Below are 25,452 nucleotides of genomic sequence, written 5' to 3'. Positions count from 1 at the left end.
TCACTACCTAGAGCTGACAATTGCCAAAGAGCACCCATCACTTCTAATGTTTTCTGTTTGTCTTGGGCAGAAGTCAGGTCTTCAAAGGCTTCTGAGCCAAAGATTGAGACTTCTCTGAAAAAAAGCATCTTAAAGTCAAGCCTCATGATAAATTGGAGAGAGTATTAAATGCCACTAAAAAACAAACCAAATAAGGTAAAAGACTTTGGGTTGGGATGTTTAGGGCCTTTCCTGGCTACACAAGGCCTGTGTCCAGCAAACCCTCTTGGCGAATAAAACACTGGCCAGAAATGACCCCCAAAGGCCTTGCTGATTCCCCAAATTAAAAATACTGTGGGCTTTAATATCCAACTGAAGCCTCCATTGGCCTAACATCTTTTCTAAGCTGCAACTAAGGCTATTATTTTTACACAGTCATTAAAACCAGAAGTCCACTCATAAAGAGAAGATCAAATTTGAAAGGAAATGTAAAGTAAAAAAAAATCTGGACTTCAAAACTTAATCGTAATAATGCCAGGAGCCATTCCATCCCATTTCTGATTTATGCTTCCTACAAATAAAGATTGGTAAATTGAAAGTTTTTATTTGGCATTTATTGTGCATTTCGGAGGATTTGTAAATCTGGCATTTGATTTGTTGGCATTAGGGCTGCCGTAGAGGACTTGTAAATCAGTTTTCTGATGTGGCAAATCAATTTTGTTTTAGAGATGAAGCTCAGTGGCTAAGTGAGATGGGAGTACAAAGAGATATAAATTTTGTGGGCTTCAGACAGGAGAGTGTCATGAGCAGGACCAAGGGAAGCCCTCCCCGCATCCTGGAGGAACCAAAGTCTCAAGGATTGCAGATCTTAGATTATGGGTTGCAAACTGGCTTCCATGGGCCAAAATATATTCCATAAATGTGTTTTATGTAACTCATAAAATGTTTTTGTTTTTAAATGTTGGATTAACGGTCATCCCTGGAACACTTCATGTAGAAATTCAAGTTGAAGTACTATCTCTTGAAAAAGCATCAGAAGTTCCTGCCACTTGGCCTGTGAGTCCTCATGGCAACAGCCAGCTGCAGTTGCAGAGCTGTGGCCTCCGTTACCTGAGGCATGAGCCTCTAAGTCGGCCACAGTTCCTACCTGGCCTCTCTACTCACATCACCTTCTTGCCCCCTAGGAACATTTGAGCTCATGACCCTATTGTAGGCACTAGAACATTCTGAAGGCTAAGTTCAGGAAGCAAGCATACTAAAAAATTATTTGTTGTTTATCTGAAATTGAAATCTAACTTGGCATCCTATAATTATACCTGATAACCCTACTGTGGTAAGCAGAATTCTAAGGTGGCCCCTAAACTGTCCACACCCCTTATGTATATGCTCTATATGATGCCCTCCCCTTGAGTGGGGCAAGACTGTGGCTATAATTAGGTTATGTGACAAAAATGAAGACATTTTGCAAATGTAATTCAGGTCCCTGATGGGTTGACTTTGAGTTAATCAAAAAGAAGATTATTCTGGTTGAGTGTGGCTTAATTGGGTGAGCCTTTCAAAGACATTGTTCTCTTCTTGAAGGAAAAGGTATAGAGTATAAGCGGTTCCTCTGCTAGTCCTGAAGAAGTAGACAGCCATGTGGAGAGAGAGAGCCAATGGAGGAGCACATGTGACTACCACCTGAGAGCAGTCCCCAGGTACAACTAGGAAGAAATGGTAGTTCCAGTTATGCAGGCTGACCAACACGTTGATTTCAGCCTTGTAAGACCCTCAGAAGAGAGCCCAGTTGACTCATGCCCCTGGAAACTCTGAGATAATAAGTTGGTGGTGTTTTGAGCCTCTGAGTTTGTGGTAACTTACTAAACAGCAATGGAAAACTAATACACACATCCACATCAAACTCTGTCTTTTTCTTTGTCCTTTTGTAAATCAAGACAAATTTCTTTGTCTTCTTTTTTTTTTTTTTTTTTTGAGATGGAGTCTTGCTCTGTTGACCAGGCTGGAGTGCGGTGGCATGATCTTGGCTCATTGCAACCTCCATCTCTTGGGTTCAAGTGATTCTCCTGCCTCAGCCTTCCAAGTAGCTGGGATTACAGGTGCTGCCACCACACCTGGCTAATTTTTGTGTTTTTGGTAGGGACGGGGTTTCACCATCTTGGCCAGATTGGTCTTGAACTCCTGACCTCAGGTGATCCACCCACCTTACCTCCCAAATTGCTGGGATTACAGGTGTGAGCCACTTTGTCTTCATTTAAAAAATTTTTGGTCACTTTTTGGTAATTCCAGAGGTACTCATAAATCCCAGATGAGGGAAATGATAAGTCATTTTCTCTCTTAACTAGGTGATGCTCAGGATTAGTTTTATTTTGAGAGTTCTAATATGCTGACTACCAGCAAAACCCATGTTTTTGTCTATGCAGAGGAAGTTTAATGTAAATAGTCACATGACAGCATAGGCCAGGGTTTAACCTGGACTCCCTCAGTTCTCTCTTGGCTTCTCTTGCCTTACTTCCTCTTCCCTTCATGGCCTCTCTTCCATCCTGGTGGACTTCTAACTTCTCTTTTTTGCCAACACTTATTTCTCCATCTTTTCTAATTTAAATTCCTAATCATAGGAATCTAATGGGACTGGTCGCTCCCTGTTCCTGAAACGTTTTTGGGCCAGGCCACATTAAAAAATCTGAGAAGTGGGGCCTGAGAAATTAGGAATTCTGGTTATCTGTTGCGGTGTAACAAGCCATCCCAAAACTCGTTCGTGACTCTGCAATTGGGAAGGGTTCAGTGAGTCCAGCTTATCTCTGCTTCATGAGGTATCAACCGAAATGATTCAAATGGGGCTGAAGGATCCATAGCCCAGATGACTCGCTCACATACCTGGAAGTTGGTACTGGCTGTTGGCTGGGAGCTCAGTGGAGGCTGCTGGCCAGGGGCCTAGGTTCCTTCCCACATGAGCCTCTTTACATGGCTACTTGTGCTTCTCTGCAGCATGGTGACTAGCATTTCAAAAGAGAGGAAGTAGAGGTTACAACCTCAGAAGGCCTCCCTTTGGAAACTGACATTGTATCATTTCTGCTATATTCTTTCGGCTAGGCAAGCACAGATTCAAGGAGAGGAGGCATAGATGACCTCTGTCTTCTTTATAGGAGGGTGCCAAAGAATTTGCTGCCGTATTTTTAAAATCAGAGTGTCTGAATTATCAACCTGTTATTTTACTGTGAGTCAGGTGATCATTTCTAGTTAAATTATCGTGGCTGAGGAGTGATTGTTTGGTACTGAATATGGCCCCTGCTATAAAGGCAAAAACACTGGCTGTGTCCCTTCGCAAGGGATGTGATTGAGGCAATTTTCCATAGAAGGTATATCAATTTATTTTGTGCTGCTATAATAGGATACCTGAGACTAGGTAATTAATAATGGACAGAAATCTCTCTCCTCTCCCTCTCTGTCTCCAAAATTTGTGCCATTGATATCAAGAATATCAACATATTCTTGATTTTAGTCACTTATCAATAATTGTGTTACAAATGAATTCTCCCAGTTGGGAATTTGTTATTACTGTCTTTAAAATGTCTTTAATGAGTAAAAACATCTTAAACTTCTTCCCAAATTTTTTTCAAAATTTGATATTCTTCCAACTTTTTAAATTATTGTCCATCACAAATTTGTCCAAAACATTATTTTTCAATCAATTGGCTGTAAAGTTACATTTTAATCTTGATTTACATTTTCCTAATTACTATGGGGATTGAACATCTGTTTGTATTTTTCTTTTTTAGCCTGTTGTATTTCTGCTCCTATTTTGTTCCTGTTCATACTTTTAAAATCCATTTTTCATTAGGGTATTTTGTCTTTTTGTTTTGTATCTAAAGGAGCTATTTACTTATTTTTTTAAAGACGGGGTTTCACCATGTTGGCCAGGATGGTCTCGATCTCCTGACCTTGTGATCCGCCTGCCTCAGCCTCCCAAAGTGCTAGGATTACAGGCGTGAGCCACTGCGCCTGGCCTAAAGGAACTTTTTATGTACTCTTTATATATTCTTGATTCTAGTCACTTATCAATTAATTGTGTTACAAATTAATTCTTGCAGTTGGTAATTTGTTGTTTTACTTTCTTTAAGATGTCTTTAATGAGTAAAAACATCTTAAACGTCCTCTCAAATTTTTTATAATAAATAGGCATTTGTTTTAAAACAGGGAAAAATTTGTAAAATGTCCCAGGTGAAATATTTAATATACATTTCACTTTAAAAATGTGTATGCGTGTGTGTGTTTATTTGCAAGGACATATACAACAATTTTGACATGTAGTATCAAAAATAAGGTTGTAAATATTATTAAATATCTTCATACTTTTTGTGTATTTAATGTTATGCAATTAATATTTACTGTCTGGAAATTAATAATGAGATTACTGAAATTTTAGAAAAAAATTAAAATCTGGCAAAGTAAAAAAAAGACTGCTTTCTATATCAAAATAAGGTGATTCTAACACAGGCAAATAATTAGCTATATCTAATGCCTTATATAGTGAGGTCACGAACCATCATTTCAAGTATAAAACATGTAAATTGCCTTAATTTCTTAAAATACATAGCTCCAGAGAAGCCTTAAAAATAACATAATCATTGTCATTCGTTAGTATTATCATTATTGAATCAAAGAAGCTAAAGTTCAACACCAGGGCTTTATGATGAAAACCAACACAAAATAAATCACATCCACTACTTGAGCCCCACTGTGATGAGACTGAGTAGAACTTTTTCCAGAGCCAGATACACAGCTCTTTTTTTTTTTTTTTTTTTTTTTTTTTGAGACGGAGTGTTGCTCTGTCGCCCAGGCTGGAGTGCAGTGGTGCGATCTCAGGTCACTGCAAGCTCCGCCTGCCAGGTTCACGCCATTCCCCTGGTGCAGCCTCCTGAGTAGCTGAGACTACAGGTGCTCGCCACCTCGCCCAGCTAATTTTTTGTATTTTTGTAGTAGAGACAGGGTTTCACCGTGTTGGCCAGGATGGTCTCGATCTCCTGACCTCGTGATCCACCCGCCTCAACCTCCCAAAGTGCTGGGATTACAGGCGTGAGCCACTGCACCCAGCCGATACACAGCTTCTTAAAGGCCAGTTAGGAAGCACACTTCTAAATTCATATTTGGAGAAACAAATGAATTTTTGAACAAATGAATTGGTAGGCTTAGAATTTCTGTCACCACTTAGGCGTATGATATGAAAATTTATAAGACTGATCACAACCCTTACATCACACGGTATTGGGAGAGGGTGTGTCAAAAACTAATTCAGTGCATATTAGAACACACTGAGTTCAGGATTTATTAGAACTTCACATGCTGGCCCTCACTGATTTTGTTGCTAGAAGGATAATAACTATATTGCATGTTTAAAAAATGTATAACCATTGTTGAAAAGAAAAGGTCAGGTAGGAGTTACAGATTTGAGTGGAAATTTCTTATATAGTAACAACTATTGCTTGTGTAATCCATCAAAGTTTTAAAATGACTCTTGACTTCGTAAAATCACTTCATACCCGTGATAATCTTATGAAGCACAGAAGAATCATTAGTTCCAAGGAGGCAATCAAATCTCAGGAGGTGTACATTCCCGAAGAAACGTAATGGGCAAGTGATAAAGCTAGGATCAACTCCAGATCATTTTTCTCCAAATTCAGTGTTCGTTTTTTCTATCCGATAATGGAACCTAGGAATTTGGCCGATCAGTAATTGACTAAACTTCCAGGGATATCTGTTTTTTCATTTCCTAGATGTAGTTGGGACATTAATCAGTTTTATAAGAGAAATGCATTCCATTATGAAATTATTAAATGAGCTCCCCTCTTCCAGGGACAAAAAGAAGGGAGCAGTTCAGCTACTTGAAGAAACCAAATGGTATGTTGAGGCAAATTAAAACCAGAGAGTCAGTTGGAGAAGCCCGAAGAGTAACCCAGGTGTCGAAATACAGACACATCAGGAGAAAACAATGCCAGCCTCCTGCCAGGGATCTATCTTAACTAAGCATCCAATTATCTTTTGGCTGCAAGGTAAGTGGAGTCAGGGGAAAGGCAATGTCACCAGATTAAATGTGGGATGTCTGGTTTTGCGGAGCCAGCTGGGGATGGGGTGAGGGAGGAAATGCAAGCTGCATGAGTAAAGACTTACGGTTGGTTGGGTCAGATGGTCTATGTAAGGAAGTGATGAATGATACAACTAAATACAGAAAGCAAAGGCCTTGAAAGATAGCAGGAGGGCCCTTGATAAAATATATTTTATGTGGTTTACAGCTTAAAAAATAGAAGAACAAGCATCATTCCTTCATTTAGTTATTCATTGAATAAACATAAATCCACTGTTCGATGTTGGGAAATCAGAGATAAAAAACACTTATGTCGGCCAGGCGTGGTGGCTCACACCTACAGCAATTTGGGAGGCTGAGACGGGCAGATAACTTGAGGTCAGGAGTTTGAGACCAGCCTGGCTAACATGGTGAAACCCTGTCTCTACTAAAAATACAAAAGTTAGCAGGGCATGGTGGCAGGTGTCTGGTAATCCCAGCTACTCAGGAGGCCGAGGCAGGAGAATGGCTTGAACCCGGGAAGCAGAGGTTGCAGTGAGCTGAGAATGCGCCACTGTACGCCAGCCTGGGTGACAGAGTGAGACTCTGTCTCAAACAAACAAACAAAAAGAAACAAAAACACAAATACAAAAACAAAACAAAACAAAAAACACTTATGTGATCCTGAGAGAGTTCCCACTTTATGTGTAGTTGAGGAACCACATAAACAAAAACATTATAATGCACTGGGATGAGTGCAATAATAGAAGGTTGTGGAAGCACCCACGAAGGCTTGCCGAAAGAGCTGATGTGTGAGCTGAGCCTTGAAGGGTGTCTAGGAGTTATCAATGGGAAGAGAGTGGAAAGGATGCTCTCCTGGAAAGGGAATAGCAACCAAAAGACCCTGCATATGAGCAAGGCTGCCAAGCAAAAAGTCAGCACCACGAGGGGATGAAGAGGCAAACACACAAATCACTGGAGTTAGGAAAGTGCCTGTGAATAGGGATCAGATTTGCTGCAAGCTTCTTGTCAGCCACAGAAGAAAGAGGAGTGTGACAAAGTTGCATCATCCTCATTGTCAGAAAGGGTGAGCACTAGCTTCTTGTGGACCCCAAATCCACACAGGCTTTTGATTAGGAAATGCAGAGTTAAAAATGAACAATTTTTTTAAAGGCAACAAGCTGCTAATGAATAAGCAATTATATCACCCCAAATCAATTGGTATCATCGGAAAGGGGCATATTTGGCTTAAACCCAGATTACAAAATATCAGAGAGAAAGAACCCAAAAAGCTTCAGGTTTCACCCAATCTAGAGAGTGAGTGACCAATTTAGTGGCTTTAATTTCTGGGGCTCTAGGAATTCCATTGACCCAACTATATTTCTTCTAAATAACATCAGAAACCCCAATATAAAAACACAAAAGTGACAATGTCTTCAAGAAAATAAAGTAAGACCCATTAATTTTACACCTTGCTCAGACACCAAAAAAAAAAAAATCAGAAAAACATTTTTGAATGTGTAGATCTTATGAATTTTTCTTGAAGAAACCACTGAAATATAATGTTTAGTTAACAAAGAGATGACTGGAGAATCCGTAGCAAAAAAAAAGAAAAAAAAAAAAACACCCTGTTAGGATTATACTGAGAAGTAGAATAAAGACTGAATGAATAAGAGTATTTTAGCTACAAAACATAACACAAATGCTACATATATGACCAATGTAGAAACTATATAAATTATAATAGTTGAGAGAGAAGGATGAGAAAAAAATGAAGGCAGTATAAGTGTGTTCTTATGTTCTTATCCTTTATAACCAGGAGTAAAAAGATATCATTTAAACATGATAATTTATGGAAAGTCATTCAACTAAAATTGGTGAGTAGGGCAAGGGAAGATGTGGACATGTATCAATTTTATCACTGTTATAGAAATTCAATTGATACTGTCTAAAGAAAGACATCATTAAGTGAATTATGTTATTATAATTATAAAGAACTTATCCAGAAGATATACACAAATCTTCCAAATGATGAGAAGAAACACAATACACTCTGTATAGTGAAAATTTTTTTTAAAGTCAAGAAAATATATACGAACAGAAAGCAAAACATGATGCCAATATTAAATGTATCTGACGTGTCAATAACTATAAATGGCTTAACTACTACATTTTAAAAATACATCTGGATTTGGCCAGGCACAGTGGCTCACGCCTGTAATCCCAGCACTTTGGGAGGCCAAGGCAGGTGGATCACAAAGTCAGGAGTTCGAGACCAGCCTGGTCAACATGGTGAAACCTCGTCTCTACTAAAGATACAAAAAAATTAGCTGGACGTGGTGGCGCGTGCCTGTAATCCCAGCTAATTGGGAGGCTGAGGCAGGAGAATCGCTTAAACCCAGGAGGCGGAGGTCCCAGTGAGCTGAGACTGTGCCATTGCACTCCAGCGTGGGCAACAGGGCGAGACTCCATCTCAAAAAAAAAAAAAAATCTGGATTTTACAAAGCAAAATCCTATTATATGCTGAGAAAAAAGACTCATTTAAAGCAAAGAGTGGTTGAAAATATAAGAATTAGGAAAGACACACCAGGAAAAAAATGGTTAAGTAAAAATAAGAGCAGAAAGTAATGCATGTAAACAATTGTTGAACTAAAAAAAACTGTTGTTTTTTTTTTTTTCTTTTATTTTTCTCAGACAGAGTCTCACTCTGTCCCTCAGGCTGGAGTGCAGTGGCGCCATCTCAGCTCACTGCAACCTCCACCTCCCAAGTTCAAGCAATTCTGCCTCAGCCTCCTGAGTAGCTAGGATTACAGGTGTGCACCACCATGCCTGGCTAATTTTTGTATTTTTAGTAGAGACAGGGTTTCACCATGTTGGCCAGGCTGGTCTCAAACTCCTGACCTCAAGTGATCCACCCACCTCAGCCTCCCAAAGTGCTGGGATTACAGGCATGAGCCACCACGGCCAGCCAAAATAAACTGTTTTTAAGGGAGGAACAATAAATAGATAAACTCTGTTGGATAATCAACTCAGGAAAAACAGAGAGAACATACAGATTACATCATAAGAGCCAGACCACTACTGACAAAGGAAATTGAAAATATGAGACTACTTTGCTTTTTGCAAATAGATTGGAAAGCAGAATAAAATGAGTAATGATAATGAATGATTATCTAGGAATACATAGATTACTAAAACTGACCCTATAAGAAATAAAACATCCGAAAAGATAAAATTCCCTAAGTTGCTCATGTTTGCATTCACACACACAGACCCATAAACATTGAGAGCAGAACTGGATTCCAGTTTTTAGGGTCTCAATACTTAAAAAATTTTGTTATTCTCTTCATAAATAAATATAAAAATATTGAAATAAAAATAGCAAAGTGAGGCTGGGTGCGGTGGCTCACGCTTGTAATCCCAGCACTTTGGGAGGCCGAGGCGGGCAGATCACCTGAGGTCAGGAGTTCAAAACCAGCCTGGTCAACATGATGAAACCCCGTCTCTACTAGAAAGACAGAAAATTAGCCTGGCATGGTGGTGTGTGCCTGTGCCTGTAATCCCAGCTAGTCAGGAGGCTGAGGCAGGAGAACTGCTTGAACCTGGGAGGCGGAGGTTGCAGTGAGCCAAGATCACACCACTACACTCCAGCTTGGGTGACAGAGCAAGACTCTGTCTCAAAAAAAAAAAAAAAGCAAAGTTAATGTTTGTTTGGAAAGAAGATATAAAAAAGGATAAATTACAAACAAAATGGTAAACCCAAATGCAAATATTGCAAAGCTCAGGTAAATAACATAGTATTTTTATTAAACAATACATCCATACTATACTTTTGCAACAGTTTTTGGCAGCATACTTTGTTATCTCTTCATATAATAATGCCTTTTGAGCATCATTTTCTATAGAAAGATGAGAAAGGCAATTTGGTCTTCCTCTAGTGATATTAATTAAAAATTTTTAATTATTGCCTCTTACAGTTTTTTTTTTTAGCTTCACAACTCATTACTGATAATATAAAAGTATTTTAGGATTATTGGCAAGTTTGGGAAAACCATGGTATTTTTTCCTATATGAGATACGTATTTTCAGGTATTTTAAATTTTCTTATGCAATGACTAATCTTAATTACTGTTTGAATTTATATCGCTCATTACCTAGAGCAATTTAAAACATTTTAAAATTTCTTCTGTGTTGCATTGAACTACATAACTGTGTGACCAAATTACTCATAAGTAGCATGCATTGACATATTGATAAATATGTGTGATTTTGTCACTGGAATACTTGTTTATTCAGGCTCTTTCAGTTTTGGGTAGTAATTTGGCATGCCATTTGTCTGGAATCTCTCAACTTTGCTAAGGTGCAATTCAATAGATAGGGACACAAAAGCAGACAAACAACATTCTACTTCACATACAGATGTATTTGCTGTTTTGAGTATTGCTGCAGATTTGTGCCGTACATAGGAGAATTTCAAGTTCTATTTTGTGCAGCTTGATTTTTTTAAAGTGTGATGCTTTTTAAAGTGAATATGCTACATTATTGAGGATTTTTCTTTCAGGAGTAATCTTCCATTTTGACTGGTATTGACTGAAAACAAGTTCTTTGCTTACACATTTACACGTATGGCAATTGGAATTTTTTTTTTTTTTTTACAGACTACGTTCTGATTCCCTATACTTCAAACTTGGTTTCTTCTTCACCCTGGATACTTGCAGAGCCGGGCACCACTCATGTGATAATGCCAGGTGAGGAAATACCCTGGGGAGTAGGAGTACTCTGGAAGCCAAGACTACACACCAAATCTGGCAACAATAAATAACAAAACACAGAAGCTGGTTGACTGTGGTTGATTGAAAACCATAGTGTGTGTGCGTGTGTGTTGTATCCTGTTAAAATCAAACTAAATGTACGTCGAACTCAACTTTCCTATTGCAGGCTGGATTCTCTAGAAGCAGATGCTGGGAGGCTATTTGGGGTACAAGGTGTTCCTTAGGAATCAACAGCTGTGTTGGGAAGGAGAGGACACAGGATCGCACAAAGGAAGACATCAACAGTGCTGTAGAGAGCCCTCCAGAGGGTAGCATTTGTCAGAGTGTTCTCCATTGGGCTGAAACACCTGGGCATTCATGTTCTTCTCACTCAATCACCAGGTAAGAGGGCTGCCCTGACAAGGGTAACATGGTCAGCAGGGAGGCTATCCCCAAAGGAGCCGGCAGCTGCAGACTGCCGAGCACACTTTCTGCAGGTGAGATGCAAGTCCTTTCTTAAAGGGGGATTTGAGCGGCCTAGTTGCAAGTCTACCACGTTCCCTTTAGCCAGACCCCCAAAAATGTCTGCAGTCCCTCCAGCACCACCTGACAGAAACAGAAGGCTAACTTAGAAATTAGCATGGAGATAGTGGCCTAAGCCAATTGTGACTAAAACATCTCACTTTACAGATTTCACAAAAGCATATGATCATGTGGACAAATTGCTAGGGCCCTTTCAGGGACTTATTAGGGTCCCATGCAAGGGGCCCTGAAGCTTAAGTTCACTAGCATCCACTAAACCTGGGAGTATAGTCAAAGTATTACATCCCCCAGAGCAACCACCCCAGATGGTTTCACAGATTAATTCCACCAAACCTTTAAGGACGAGGCTAATCCAATGTGACTTAAACAGTTCCAGAACATGGAAGTATAAAGCAGTTTTTGAAATTCTCCTTTTTGAACTTAGCATAATATTGAACCTAAACCATATATAAAGAGAAAAAAAAAGTAAATTGCAGAACAAACTAATTTACCTGTATTGATAACAAACCGAATCCAGAATGCATTAAATAAGTAATACTATAATCAAGGGGGTCTTAATCCCAGGGTATTGAAATGTTAGGGAATCCATCCATGTAATTCATCAGAGAAACTGATCAAAAGAAAAAATTATATAATTATTTCTAAAGCTACTGAAAAGATATTGGATAAAATTCAATAGTTCACCTTAATAAAACTTTAATTAATAAAAAGAGAAATGCTTATTTATATGACATACAACTATATGAATATGTATTTTAAATGTACCTTAACCTGAAAATCAACATTATGCCTAATGAAGAAACAATAGACTCATTAAATTCAATTTCAACAGAATTTTTTGGGGGGATCTAGGTAAGTTGAGTGTAAAATTAATATGGAAATAAGGCAAGCAGAGAGAGTTGAAAAATGCTAGAAAAGAAGAACGATTAAGGGAATCTAGGTTTTCCATTTATTAAAACATGTTATACATCTACACTAATTAAAGCAGTGTAGTATTGCTATATGCATGCACAGATGGGTCAGTGAAATATACCAGAAAGTGCAGAATATAAATGCAAATACATATGAGAACTTAATATATGAAAAAGGGATAAAGCCAACTTCAAAAAATGGAGTTGGGAAAATGGGGTAGCCATCTGAAAAAAATACATATCTTGCTGGCTCCTGACCTCACCCACACTTGAAAATAAGCTCCGTATTTTTAAAAGATTCAATATAAATGGAAACCATAAAATACTAGAAGAAAATATAGAAGAATTTTTTAATATTAATCTTGGAGAAAGGAAGTCATTTCCTAGAACACAAAACCAACATGAAACATAAATTTAACCACATAAATGTAGAAATAGAATTCCGCAAAGAAAAAAATAAGCATAAATTCAAAGACAAAACACAAAGTAGGAGCAAATATTTGCAACTCAGACTGCAAATATAGAAATCATCTATCTAATAGAGAGAATCTACAAATCAACATAAAAAAAGATAAAAACACCTAATAGAAAAATAGGCAAAACAGTTTATAAAATAGGAAATACAAATGGGTTTTACACATACAGAAAGATGCTCAGCCTAATAATAAAATAAATGCATACTAGAAGTACAATGAGGTATCACTTTTTGCCTATCAAATTGGTAAAGTTAAGAACATTTAATAACATTGTGTGCCAGCATGGTGTGGGGAAATAGAAACTCTCCTGTAATGGGAAAGTCACCTGTACATCTTCCTTGGAGGGCAATTTGACAATATTGATTGACTTCACAAATGTCTGTCTCCTTTAATCTGCAATTCTACTTCTAGAAATTTATCCTCTTAATGCAAAATGGTTAAATATCTACATTTGTGTATGGTCCAATGTAACACTTGAAAATGATCAAAGTAATGAGTGTACAAAGAAATCATACAATAGAAATAAGCAAAGTGTCCATCATTAGGGGATTAGATAAATATGTTATGGTACATCCTTTCAGTGGAAGACCGTGTGGATACGTCTTTTTAAATAAAGTATTTTCATTTATACTGGTATGAAATGATTCCATGTTATATTACTTAGTTAGCAAAATGGTATGCATAGTATGGTTTCATTTGAGTAAAATATAAAAAAGAATACCTTCATGTATATTTTCCTGTATATGCAAAAAGTTTCCCGTGCATGATACATAAAGAAATTATTATATTGGTTGCCTTTAGGAAGAAAATCTAGGTAGTTGGGAGCAGAGATGCAGAGATACTCTTCTAACTTTTGCAAAAAGTATTGCAAATAAAGAAATATGCTAAGACATGAACCTTGGTAATATGAAAATTTGACTTTTGGTTATATAGACATAGAGTAGTTACACTGGATGCTAAACGTAGTTCTGAGTGTCAGGTGGCAGCAGAAAACAAAATGGACACATTCCCTGCCCTCTAGTGATGATATTCTAATAGGGGTAGAAAGACAGTACATGAAGAAGCTTATAAACACCAAGAGGTAATAAATGCCATGAATGGAAATAGAAAGGAAATATACAGGGTGGTCAGACAAGGTCGCTCTAGTAAGAAGGTGGAGCAAAAGCCTCAAGGAGGTTAGGGTTCTGGTATGGTTTGGCTCTGTGTCCCCATCCAAATCTCATCTCAAATTGTAATCTCCATGTGTCGAGGGAAGGAACTGGTGGGAGGTGATTGGATCATGGGGACGGTTTCCCCTGTGCTGTTCTTGTGATAGTGAGTGAGTTCTCATAAGATCTAAAGGTTTAAAAGTGTGTGGCTTCCTTCACTCTCTCTCTCCTGCCACCTTGTGAAGAAGGTACTTGCTTCTCCTTCACCTTCTGGCATGATTATGTTTCCTGAGGCCTCCCCAGCCATGCAGAGCAGTGAGTCAATTAAACTTCTTTTCTTTATAAATGACCCAGTCTCAGGCATGTCTTTATAGCACTGTGAGAATGGATTAACCCCGGTGCCATCAGAATCCATGTGGGGAAGGTCCTTCCAGACAGAGAGAAAGCAAATGCTAAAGCCCTGAAGCATGAGTCCCAGGAGTGTTTGAGAAACAGCAGAGACCAGTGGGGCTGGAGAGGCTAATGGGGGTGATAGGAGCTCAGAGCAGAATGTTGATGGGAGGAAATCATGTTGGCCTCTAGGCCAGAGTAAGGATATTAAATTAATAGTCATTTCCACTCCAGTTTCAGCTCTCAAAAAGAAACAAAGTTTGATGGTGAACAAAATGCAAAGATCAGGAGGACCCAGAGCCCAGAAAGGAATATAGAGGGGGAATCCCTGGGAAGAGAAGAGGGCACGGCGCTGAGAGGTAAGGGTTGAGAGCAGTGAGCTTCGCTGTATCTTTTGAAAACTGACCGGAGCACTTGAAGATGGTCAAAGAGAGCCTTAGGCCAGGACTCAAATGTTTAAATGGCAGCTAAATGAACATGGAATTAGACCTACTATGTATATTCACACTGAAATCAGCCCCTACATAATCAGTTGGCTTTTACATCATCTTTTCTAGAAGTAAACATTTTTAACTAACAAAGAGATCATTGATGCTTACCTCCTCCAGATAAGCACTGGGGCTCTTTATTGATTTTGAGAGTCTCACTCAGCTGAACACATATTGTAAACCCTTTTATAGATCCTAAGTGTTTATTGGATAAGGACTGGGACCTTTTCAAATATATTATCAGCAGTCTTATGAGAAGTCTTTCTGAAGTTTGCTAACTTGTAGCCATGGGTCTCTCCTGTGCTGAACAATGAAATGTCTTATCTTCCCTACATATGTGTCTTGAGGCTCTTTCACTCCTGTGGAAAACAAGGCAACTATTGGAGGGATATTGGATTAAACTCAGGTGTAAAAGGAAACTTCTAAAATTTTTCATTAAGGAATTGCACTGTGGTGTGCATGAGCCCTTGGGATCACTCTTTTTCAATGCAATTCTTATAAACAGCAAAGACTTCTTTTTTCAAATGGGTGAAGTTTATAGGAGAATAAATTGACTCAGTGTAAGATTAAACTTTCTGACATAACACTTCAACAATGGGACATGATGCTTTGAAAAGTAGAGACTATTCAAAAAGAATGCAACGACCACTTTCCAGAGATGTTAAAGAAGGAATTCATGAGTAGGTAGGATTTTGGATGAAATACTTTTAGGTTTCTTCCAACTCTGAGCTGCTATGACTGTGTCATTCTATAATTCTACCTTTGCTTTTGCATTTCTGTATTTAGTATTTTCTCAGATCTGTCTGGATCTTACTCAGGGAGACAGAACTAACTAAAAATTTCATTCTTGATGGGATGGTCTGCGGAATTACAGGCAGGTTATCTCTCCAGGCTCTTCCAAGCTAGCATAGCTAGAATAAGAATCTGGATTCCAGAGAAAGGAGAATATAACAGAGTGTCTTAGACTGAGCTTGCCAGAAGCAAGGCCTGAGATAAGGAAGCATTCCTAGGAGATAGTAGTAAGAGAGGCAGGAAGCAGGACAGGAAATTGGCAGAAGCCAAGCCAGAGTCCCAGACTCAATCTGATCCCACAGGGACCTCTGGAGTGTAAACTACATTTCAGTGTTTACCCCAACTTAAGCCGAGGATACTGGGCTTCCATATTCCCACACCAGTCAGTCATTGACTAAGATATTAACACGTAGGCTTTCTGTGCTCATGGGGAAGAAGGCTTCAGTAACATAAGAGAAGACCCAACAAAGAGAGCTGCAGAAGCAAAAACACACAACATTCTGGGGAAAGACTCACAGTAAAGTTAAAAGGGATCCAAGGTGGACTTGAGCAGAATGCTAACAGTGTCCCCCTCAAAAGTCGCAAATAATACACAAAGCAACTTCACGTCCAAATCCTAAGACCATAAAAATGGTTAGAAACAAACGTAACAAAAGCAAGTTCAGATACTGAGTGTAAAATAGGTGCAAGTAGTTCCTTCAGGGTTGCAGAAGTTAATTTTGAGAGAGCGATGGAAGTTTAAATTGATGTAGTGTATTAGCCAGGATTCTGCAGAGAAACAGAACCAGTAAGATATGTACATATTAAATATATATATATAACATACACATATTACATGAGTATGTATTATGTAATATGTACATACATATATACATATATTACATATGTATATTATACATGTAATATATATCTTTTAATATATTGTATATGTGGAGAGAGAGAAAGAGATTTATTTTAAGGACTTGGCTCATGTGATTGTGGGGGCTGGCAAATCCCAAATTTGTAGATGAAGCTGGCAGCTGAAAACACAGGAAGGAATTGATGTTGCAGTCTTGAGGCAGAATTTCTTTTCTGGAAAACCTTAGTTTTTGCTCTTAAAGCCTTCAACTGATTGGATTAGACTCAGCTACATTATCTTTACTTAAGGTCAATGATTGTAGATGTTAACCACATCTACCATGTACCTTCAAGGCAAACATCTAGATTAGTGTTTGGTTAAACCACTGGATACTATAGCCTGGCCAAGATGACACAGAATATTAACCATCAAATAGAATATTCTGCATACCACTGAGGGTCTTTCTAAAAGTAAAATAAATTTTGTGGATCTGAGCAATACATGCTAGAATCAGGGAATGTCTTTCAGCCAAGTTTTCTGGTTCCCAACTACTCATATTCTTGTGTGGACGAGGATCCTAACGTACTCATCTGCTAACCCACACTTGGGTTACGAATCTCATCACAAAGCTTGGCTTCAAGCATGACATTTACTAAATGAACCACTTGATGTTATGTTTAAGTTGTGGAGTAAAGAACAAATTCATTAATGAGAACCCTGTTTAGAGTTCTTTTGGAATGAATAATCATCTCTTGGTTCCAGGAAGACCTTGTGCCCATCTGTAAATTGTCATTATGTGAAAACATTGACTGAGAGGGAGGCTGCTGGGGAACAGAACCTGCAAATCATGGGGACTTGTGAACATTGTCTTCTTTTCCTTACTGCCTGTCAGGCATTGTTATGATGAATAACACACAAATGATAGCTATAGTTGACAATAGAAAGTAAGCTCTGACTTTAGGTTGATGGGTCTCATTTTTTTCACCCAACACGGTTGAAGGATATAACTTCCCCCCATTAGCAACAGAGGTGCTTTACAGAGGTGATGATGGAAATATCACCCACTTGAATCTCAGTGTAGAGGGAAAAAGGGAGTTACACAGCATGGTTCTGCTCTGTTTCTTCAGTGTATACTGCCATTGAGAATCATCCTTCCCAGTAACAAAATTGTGCTTTGCAAGTTCCATATATGTGTTTTGAGTAGAATTGAATCTGGTAGAACTTCTGTTTAAGATTGGACAGGCAGGCAAGATAAGCTTTAAGATTCCTTTTGTTGACTCAGTAACACAAGCCCTGTGAAGTGAATTACAAATGGTGTTCTCATTAGTGAATTTGTTCTTAGAAATCTCGAGTCAAACAGTAGCTTCTGTAAGACTCTATATAGTTTATCAATGGCCACAATAATGCTGTATGACAACCAGAGATTCTCTGTGGCAAATAACAGTAAACAAATTTCTGGTTTTTGAGTTTTCAGAGTTCAGCTGATCTGAACTGGGCTTAGCTGATTTTGGCTGGGTTTGCTTATGTGTCTACAGACAGTTACGGGTCAGCTAGATGCCTCTACTGATCTTGGCTGGGCTCACTCTGAGTTCCAGAGTTGGATGGCTGTTGGCTGATCTTGGTTGGCCCCATCTGAGATAAGTGAGGCAACTCAGTTCTGCTCCATGTGTCTCCTCCTCTAGTGGGCTAGCTCAAGCATGTTCTCATGGCAGTTGCATAAGTTCAAGAAGATTTCCTAAGGCTTAAGCTCAAAACTGGGTATGGTCACTTCTGCTGCCTTCTATTGGCCTTAGCAAGTCACAATGCCAACCATATTCAATTTTGGGCGAAATAGACTTTATCTCTCTGTAATGAGTAGGACTGCAAAATTATGTGGCAAAGGGAATGATTTACATTGAGGGATGAGAAAAGGAGCCATTATTACAATCAGTCTACCATGGATTCTAAATTATTAGCATGAAATCAAATTCTAGTAACCATATCTCACTGTCTACTCACGTCGGCTGGCTGTCATCCCTAGTAATATGTCAGAAATGAAATATCAGGAATGATTTTTCTTTGTCTGGAGAACTCTGACATTTCAAGGGGAACTGTACCAGCTAGTGTTGGCCCAAACTCAGCTGACCCCCTGCAATATCAAGCATAAGACTGAAATACACAAAGGCCTCCCCTCCCCTCCCCTCTCCTCCCTTCCCTTCCCTTCTCTCCTCTCTCCTCTCCTCTCCTCTCCCCTCCCCTCCCCTCCCCTCCCCTCCCCTCCCCTCCTCTCCTCTCCTCTCGTTTTAGGTCATAGGATGTCCTGCCTCAGTGTATTCTCTCGTTACTTACATGTTATTAATATCATATTATAATTACTAGGATAATCTCCAGGCTTTGCAATTGCCTGGTACTCCATAACTGCTCGGTAAATATAGGCTATTATCATTATAGTGCAGATATTCAGAATAAGTTGTTGTATTTTTGGAACAGGTCCAAAGTTTCTTGGTTAGTAAAATATAAAAAATGGCCTCATTATAAGCCCGCCTGACCCATTAAGAACGATCTCCCAGGACAACCTTCTAAAATGCCAGGATAGGTGCTCCACTGTAAGAGTAACCTATTAGGAACATGAGTCCAACATTCATTCTTTAGCAGTGAGATCTATGCCATGCATTTGTTACTGTTCATTTTATTCACTGTAGCTCCATCAACTTGTTGTACAATGTAATTTTCTCATGGAACTCCATTAAAGGTGGGAAGAGGGTGCATTAAACAAAACAAGAACCCCTAATTTTTTTAGCCATCAGGCATTAATTTATCAATGCTCACGTACATAATTAATGGTCTCGCACAGCTTGTGACAGCTGGTTTGTTTCAGCCAAAACCCAGCCTAACTAAGTTAAGATTTGGAGGTATGCCACAAGAACCTAGTTAAACCTGTCATGAACTCCTCATTTGATATTTTAATAGGCTTTCCTGGCATGGAACCCAATTGCCTGGGCTCACTCCCCTCTCAGTCTAAAAGGCGTGAGTTCAGCTTCATCACTCTACATATCCTCATCTTGTCTCAAACACTTGGAGAATGGGGCTTTGAAAAGGTCAAATCCACATAGAAGAGAAGTTTATGCAAAAGCTCAAATAAAAACAAGATGAACGTGCATACAGACAACATTTAGTACTGGCAGCCCATAAAACAAAACCATGTTGTAAACATGTCCAAATATCAACAAGTCCTTTTCCCAAAACATACTGAAGAATAAAGGATTTGAAATAACAGTTCAGGGTACAGTTGGTGTCATCTCACAGTTTGTAAATTTGGCACTATTGATCTACAAAAAAACTGTAGAGAATTCTAATATATTGAGCCTCTTCTCTATGTTGTATCCCACATCAATGATTTTATCTGTTTCTTGCAAACATTTGTTTGCAAAGTTGTGATTTTGCAAGGGTGTGACTGATCCGAGGACACATGATTGATGACAGGCAGAGCCAGACTTAGAAGTTGAGTGCCTAATTCCAAGGCAAGTCTTTGCCACAGTGTGCAGATGAGTAATTTAGCTTACATGAGGTATTTAGAGTCTAATAGGTTCTTTATGTTCATGTTGATGGCAAATGGTGCTTCAAACACATATCTACATAAGTATTATTCCTTTGTTGCATACTATCAGATGGGGGAAGTCAGCGTACAAATTCATCAGTGAATTCTCTCTGGAATCAGCTGCTCTGTGGGCTCCTTTTGGATAAGGAAACAAGCCAGGCAGAGGTAGTCTTTCCAATTCCTCCAAGTGCTTCATCCAGTACTTCTTCTTTGCCAGCAACTACATGGGGCACTTTTTGTAGGGGACCCTACTTTCATCTTCATGACAACACTTGGAGATAATTATTGGTACCCTCAATATTACATGTTTTGAAATTGAGACTCAGAGATGTGAAGTAACTTGTTCAAGGACACACAGCTAATAATTAGCTATTCTAGCACTGAACTCAGTTCTGTCTGACCCTGAAGCCCGTGCTGTTTTGATTTTGTTCATTTTCTACTAATTTCTTATGTGGCTAAGATGCATGTCATGATCTTGCCTATTTATTAAGAAAAGGCACCTAGAAGCAACATCAGAGAGTGAGTTTCTTTTATCAGAAACAAATCTCCTGGCAATTTTGGAATTAGCCAGAAAGGGTTCAGATTGCCTGAGTGGGGCTGTGGAAATATGGTTTGGTGTTGGGACTAAGGGTAGGGAATGAGGGAGGTAGGGAGACAGAGGAGCTTAATGAAGAGGGTACTGGGAAGCCTCATCAGCCTTCTATGAAGAATTATGATCTGGCTCTTAGCTTCCAGGGAACAGAGGTTCTAAATGGCCATGCTTTCAGTTTCCAAACTCAGGAAGTGGTGGACAAAGTGAGACCAGAGTTAATGCTTTCACACCTGTAGCAACCAGTTCCCCACCCATCCCTTGCCCTCAAATCATCTCAGGTTGTCAATATCTGACAGAAAGTTCCATATCTAGGCACTCTGAGCCAGGGACTACTTCAAATGTACATCACTCACGACTTAGCAAATCCTATACCAAAGACACGTTGGAACTGCCTATTTTTGGTGTAAATGCTCTGAGAGTGTAGCAGAGACTACAGGTACCTGGATAGCTTTGGGATAATCAGTCTATTCCGAGCAGAAGATCAACTAGAAGTCAAGGAACTAGAGCTCCATCCGTGGAACTTTGGGGAAGAGGATCCTGGTTGGCAAGAGAGAGCTAGACAGGCTGTGGGGAGCACAGTAAACTGGATGGCATCTTGGCCAAGTCTCCGTTCTCAGTGGGACCTTAAATTTGGGCCAGGCATCAGCCTTTTTGTAAATTAGGAAAAAGGAACTTTTCTGGACGAATAACAGTGAAATGTGATCCTTCTCTCCTCTAGGTAAATGTCAGCCTGAGTCATGACTCGCATGCAGTGAGGGATTTTGGCCCTGACTCACTCCCTAAGGCAGGCATATTTTGGCAGTGAATAAACTGCATCACTGTAGCTGGTAACTCTGCCTGGATAGGAATAGGGAATAGAATCAGAATCTTTTTATATTATGAGATAATAATATAATAATTGTAGTAAAGTTTAAGTCTTTATAAGGATCAGAGAGAGAATCTAATCCGCTCTAACCTAAAATACAGTATAATAATGCCTGGTACGTAACAGGTGCTGGATCAAAGTTTGTTAGATAAATAAATCCCAAAGTGGGTCAGTTTTGCAGCTTCCTTCTGAATAGTGCTTATAGAACCACTAAAAATAGTTTTCCATTTTCACGTTCATGACTACTGAGGGTTCATTCTTTAGAGTACAAAGGTTTTCTATACAACTCAAAAGTTCTTCCACTGCTGTTAAGTTTTTTTCATCATTTATTGGTCCATCATCTAATCACTTTTCCTTTTTCTACTGATCTTACAATTTTATAAATCCATGGCCATTTAGACTTCAGATGCCCATATCCAACATCATCTACTAAAAGTCTCTCTTTAAGACTTCTTTATCAGGAGATAAGGAGATAAGGAAAGAGTGTCTTATGGTGTGATGTTGATGAACAAATGCTCATCTTTTCAAATGCTTAATACTTAAATATCTGAGTACTGTTGTCACATGCTGTTAGCAGTGACCTTCCTTTTCATTGTGTCATCAGCCTCCTAAGTGATCCTGGTTCCACGTCATGCAGTGATTTGCATGTGCTCCATGCTGTCTTCCTCTGCATCCAGGAAGCTCATCAGACCCTTTCCCTATACTACATCTTCTGTGGTTCTTACCCAAACTATTGCAATAGTCTCCTAACAGATCTTTTGCCACCAAATCATATGTCTCTAATTTATCTTCCAAACTGCCAGAAGGAGTTTCTTAAATTAAAATATTATCATAAAATTATGGACTGTTTCTCATGGCGTTAAGGGGATTAAGACACTCTTTACTTAATAAGGTACTTGAAGTCCCTCCCTGTCTGGCTCTAACTTCACAACCTCATCACTAGCTGCTTCCCCCAACAGTCCATACCAAGCCTGATGAACATTGTACAGTTCTTTTCATTGTTTCAAGCCTCCCTGTCTTGCCTATTTAAAAAAAAATTCTTCGAGCATGACCATCCTTCTCCTGCTCAGATAGTAATCTATTTGTCCTTCAAGAAAAGATGCAAGTGTTTCTGCTGGTTGATGATTTTTTTCAGCCCTTCTACTGCACCTAATCCCATTCTTACTATCTTTGTTAAAGATGATGTTTATTCTGTGAGTTGCCATTATGTATGTATTTATTTTTTACCCTATTATACTTGAGTTTGTGGTGAGCAGAGGAGTGCAGAATATTTTTTTATTTATCCCTCCAGATCAACTCTCCACATGTTTCAACCCTGATTTGTGTCCAGGACTATGTATAGACTATATCCATAAGCTCTTTTGCTCCAGGCTCCCTGGAGATTTCAGCCAATGGGAGACACTGGGGGGAAATCTGAAGAAGGAAAGAAGTTTAGGTTGGAGTGTTTTTACCAGAGCTCTCAATTCCTCTCTCCTAACTGGATTGTGTATTGGCTGTATTTGTGTTTCCCTACCAGAGGCCACAGCTTCTACCCAGTAGTTGGGCCTACTGTCTCTGAGATCCAGGAATCACTGACTCCATTCATGTTCAGGACTAGGGTTGCTAACAGTGCCTCATTATTGCTAGCACCAGGATAGAGCACCAACCTGTGCTATTGTTTGCACTTTTGAAAATGGTCGTTTCATCAAAGTCTTTTGAATTCGGAAGAGTATATAGGCCATATGTTTCCTGCCAGGCCCCTGATAGATACATGGACCATGCCATTTTTATCTTGGTATATCTTGAGTGGTATCACAAATCCTGAACACCTGGCAACTGCACTGCACAGTGGTTAAGAGCTCAGGCTTTGGAGTCAGACAAAACTTGTTCTTATCCCAGCTTCACTATTATGCAATCGTGGGTTAGTTACTCTAAGTCTCTGTTTCTTCAAGATACAATCGAAATAATAATAATAATAATAATGCTTATTCACAAATTTCTGAGGATTAAATGGGAAGATAAAGACAGATTGTTTATCATTGGGCTGGATGTAGTAAAGAATTTGACCTTGCCCAAAAAGAGCTCTGGACCTTCTCCACAGCTCGTGGGAGGTAACCTCTAAACTCTTAAAATTTCTGGTACGAAGGTCTTTGAAATTCATAGCTTGCCCTTGGCTCACACTTGATAATTCATTATTCTAGAAAATGACTCGTGGTAGGCCCCTCAAGCCACAGAAAACCAGCTTGACCCATGGAGGGGGTGGCTGGAGCCTGAGTTCAACCACATGGGTAATCAACTAATCATGCCCAAGTAGTACAGTGCCAATAAAAGCTCTAGACCCCATGGCTCAGGTGAACTTTCCAGGTTCATCAAAGACTTTGATGAACATTCAGAACGCTTCCAGATTCTGTCCCATGCATCTCTTCCCTTGTGTGATTTTAATGTATCCTTTCCTTGTAATAAACTATAACAGAACACATAGCTTTCAGTGAGTTCAGGGAGTCCTTCCAGCAAACTCTCCAAGCTGAGGGTAATTTGGGGATATCCCCAAACTTGCAGTTGGTGTTAGACACCTTGAGCAGACCTGGCAGTCTGAGGACTATGTCCGCAAATCTTATACATTGGCTAACTCTGGGTAGCATGGTATGTGGTGATCGCCCAATAAATTTTCCTACTGAATGTTGATTTAAGAAGAGAATAAAAGAATGATAGTGGGCAGTCAGCACACATACCACTTTCACAGTCCGGGGATCCCTGGTTGTGTCTGTGGGTCCCCTATACCATAAATCTGCTTTCAAGTTTTACTGACTTTATCAACGTTTCCTTTTGAGCCAGACTATCATATTTGATTTGGGTCCAAGTGGCACTGTTTCGGTTACAAGCTTAGAAAGCTGAAATGCAGTAAAAATAAAAAAGGTTAAAACTTCCAAATTGCAAGTTAAGAGAGATTTTTTTATCCCAGAATGTTTATTTTAAACATTGTTTTAATAGAAATCAGTTGAATCCCACATACCAATAAGATGATCCTCTGAGACAGATTGACTCTACCATGTCAGAATGATTTTGGCAGGCTACAGAGTTCTTAATTCTTACTGTGTGAGAGGCCATGCCTCGGTCACACCTCCACTGTAGAAATTCTCATTCTGGGGGCACAAAGGGTGACCAAGTGTCCTGGTTTGCCTGGGACTGAAGAAGTTTCCGGGATATGGGACTTTTAGTTTTATCTTTTGTTTTCTTTTTAAATTTTTTTTATTTCAATAGGTTTTTGGGGAACAGGGGGTGCTTGGTTACATGAATTAGTTCTTTAGTCATAATTTCTGAGATTTTGGTGCACCCATCACCCAAGCAGTGTACACTCTACCTAATGTGTAGTCTTTTATCCCTCCCCAGCCCCCACCCTTTCTCACAAATCCCCAAAGTCCAATGTGTCATTCTTATGCCTTTGTGTCCTCATAGCTTAGCTCCTACATATGAGTGAGAACATAGGACATTTGATTTTCCATTCCTGAGTTACTTCACTTAGAATAATAGTCTCCAAGTCTATCCAGGTTGCTGTGAATGCCATCATTTCATTCTTTTTTATGGCTGAATAGTATTCCATGTTATATATATATATGCCACATGTTCTTTATCCACTTGTTGATTGATGGGAATTTGAGCTGGTTCCATATTTTTGCAATTGCAAATTGTGCTGCTATAAACATGCATGTGTAAGTTCTTTTTTTTTTTTTTTTTTTTTTTTTGATAATGACTTACTTTCCTCTGAGTAGATACCCAGTAGTGGGACTGCTAGATCAAATGGTAGTTCTACTTTTAGTTCTTTAAGGAATCTCTACACTGTTTTCCATAGTGGTTGTACTATTTTACATTCCCACCAACAGTATAAAAGTGTTCCCTTTTCACTGCATCCACACCAACATCTATTATTTCTTGATTTTTTAATTATGGCCATTCTTGCAGGAGTGAGATGATATCACACTGTGGTTTTGATTTGTATTTCCCTGATACTTAGTGATATTGGGCATTTTTCCATAAGCCTGTTGGCCATTTGTATATCTTCTGAGA

The 25,452-nt window shown here is 39.1% G+C and overlaps 1 long non-coding RNA gene across 1 annotated transcript, besides 1 other annotated feature; it reads left to right on the top strand.

The window, feature by feature from the left end:
- Positions 702-888: a silencer, noted in NCBI's record as "fragment chr4:17089199-17089385 (GRCh37/hg19 assembly coordinates)". NCBI's record gives its function as "represses an EF-1alpha promoter that drives an FKBP-Casp9 reporter gene in an ReSE screen in HepG2 liver carcinoma cells {active_cell/tissue: HepG2}" and the evidence as "EXISTENCE:reporter gene assay evidence [ECO:0000049][PMID:32094911]".
- LOC105374507 (uncharacterized) lies at positions 5,835-14,615 on the top strand. Its single transcript, XR_925441.3, has 4 exons — positions 5,835-6,026; positions 10,696-10,785; positions 10,976-11,190; positions 14,491-14,615. It is a non-coding gene; the product is annotated as an uncharacterized LOC105374507 (long non-coding RNA).
- The last annotated feature ends 10,837 nt before the right edge of the window (positions 14,616-25,452 follow it).

The sequence above is a fragment of the Homo sapiens genome, chromosome 4 (assembly GCF_000001405.40).
Source record: "Homo sapiens chromosome 4, GRCh38.p14 Primary Assembly".
NCBI classification, from domain to species: Eukaryota; Metazoa; Chordata; class Mammalia; order Primates; family Hominidae; genus Homo; species Homo sapiens.
The sequence above is the reverse complement of the archived record's forward strand: the minus strand, read 5'-3'. Positions and strand labels throughout refer to the sequence as shown.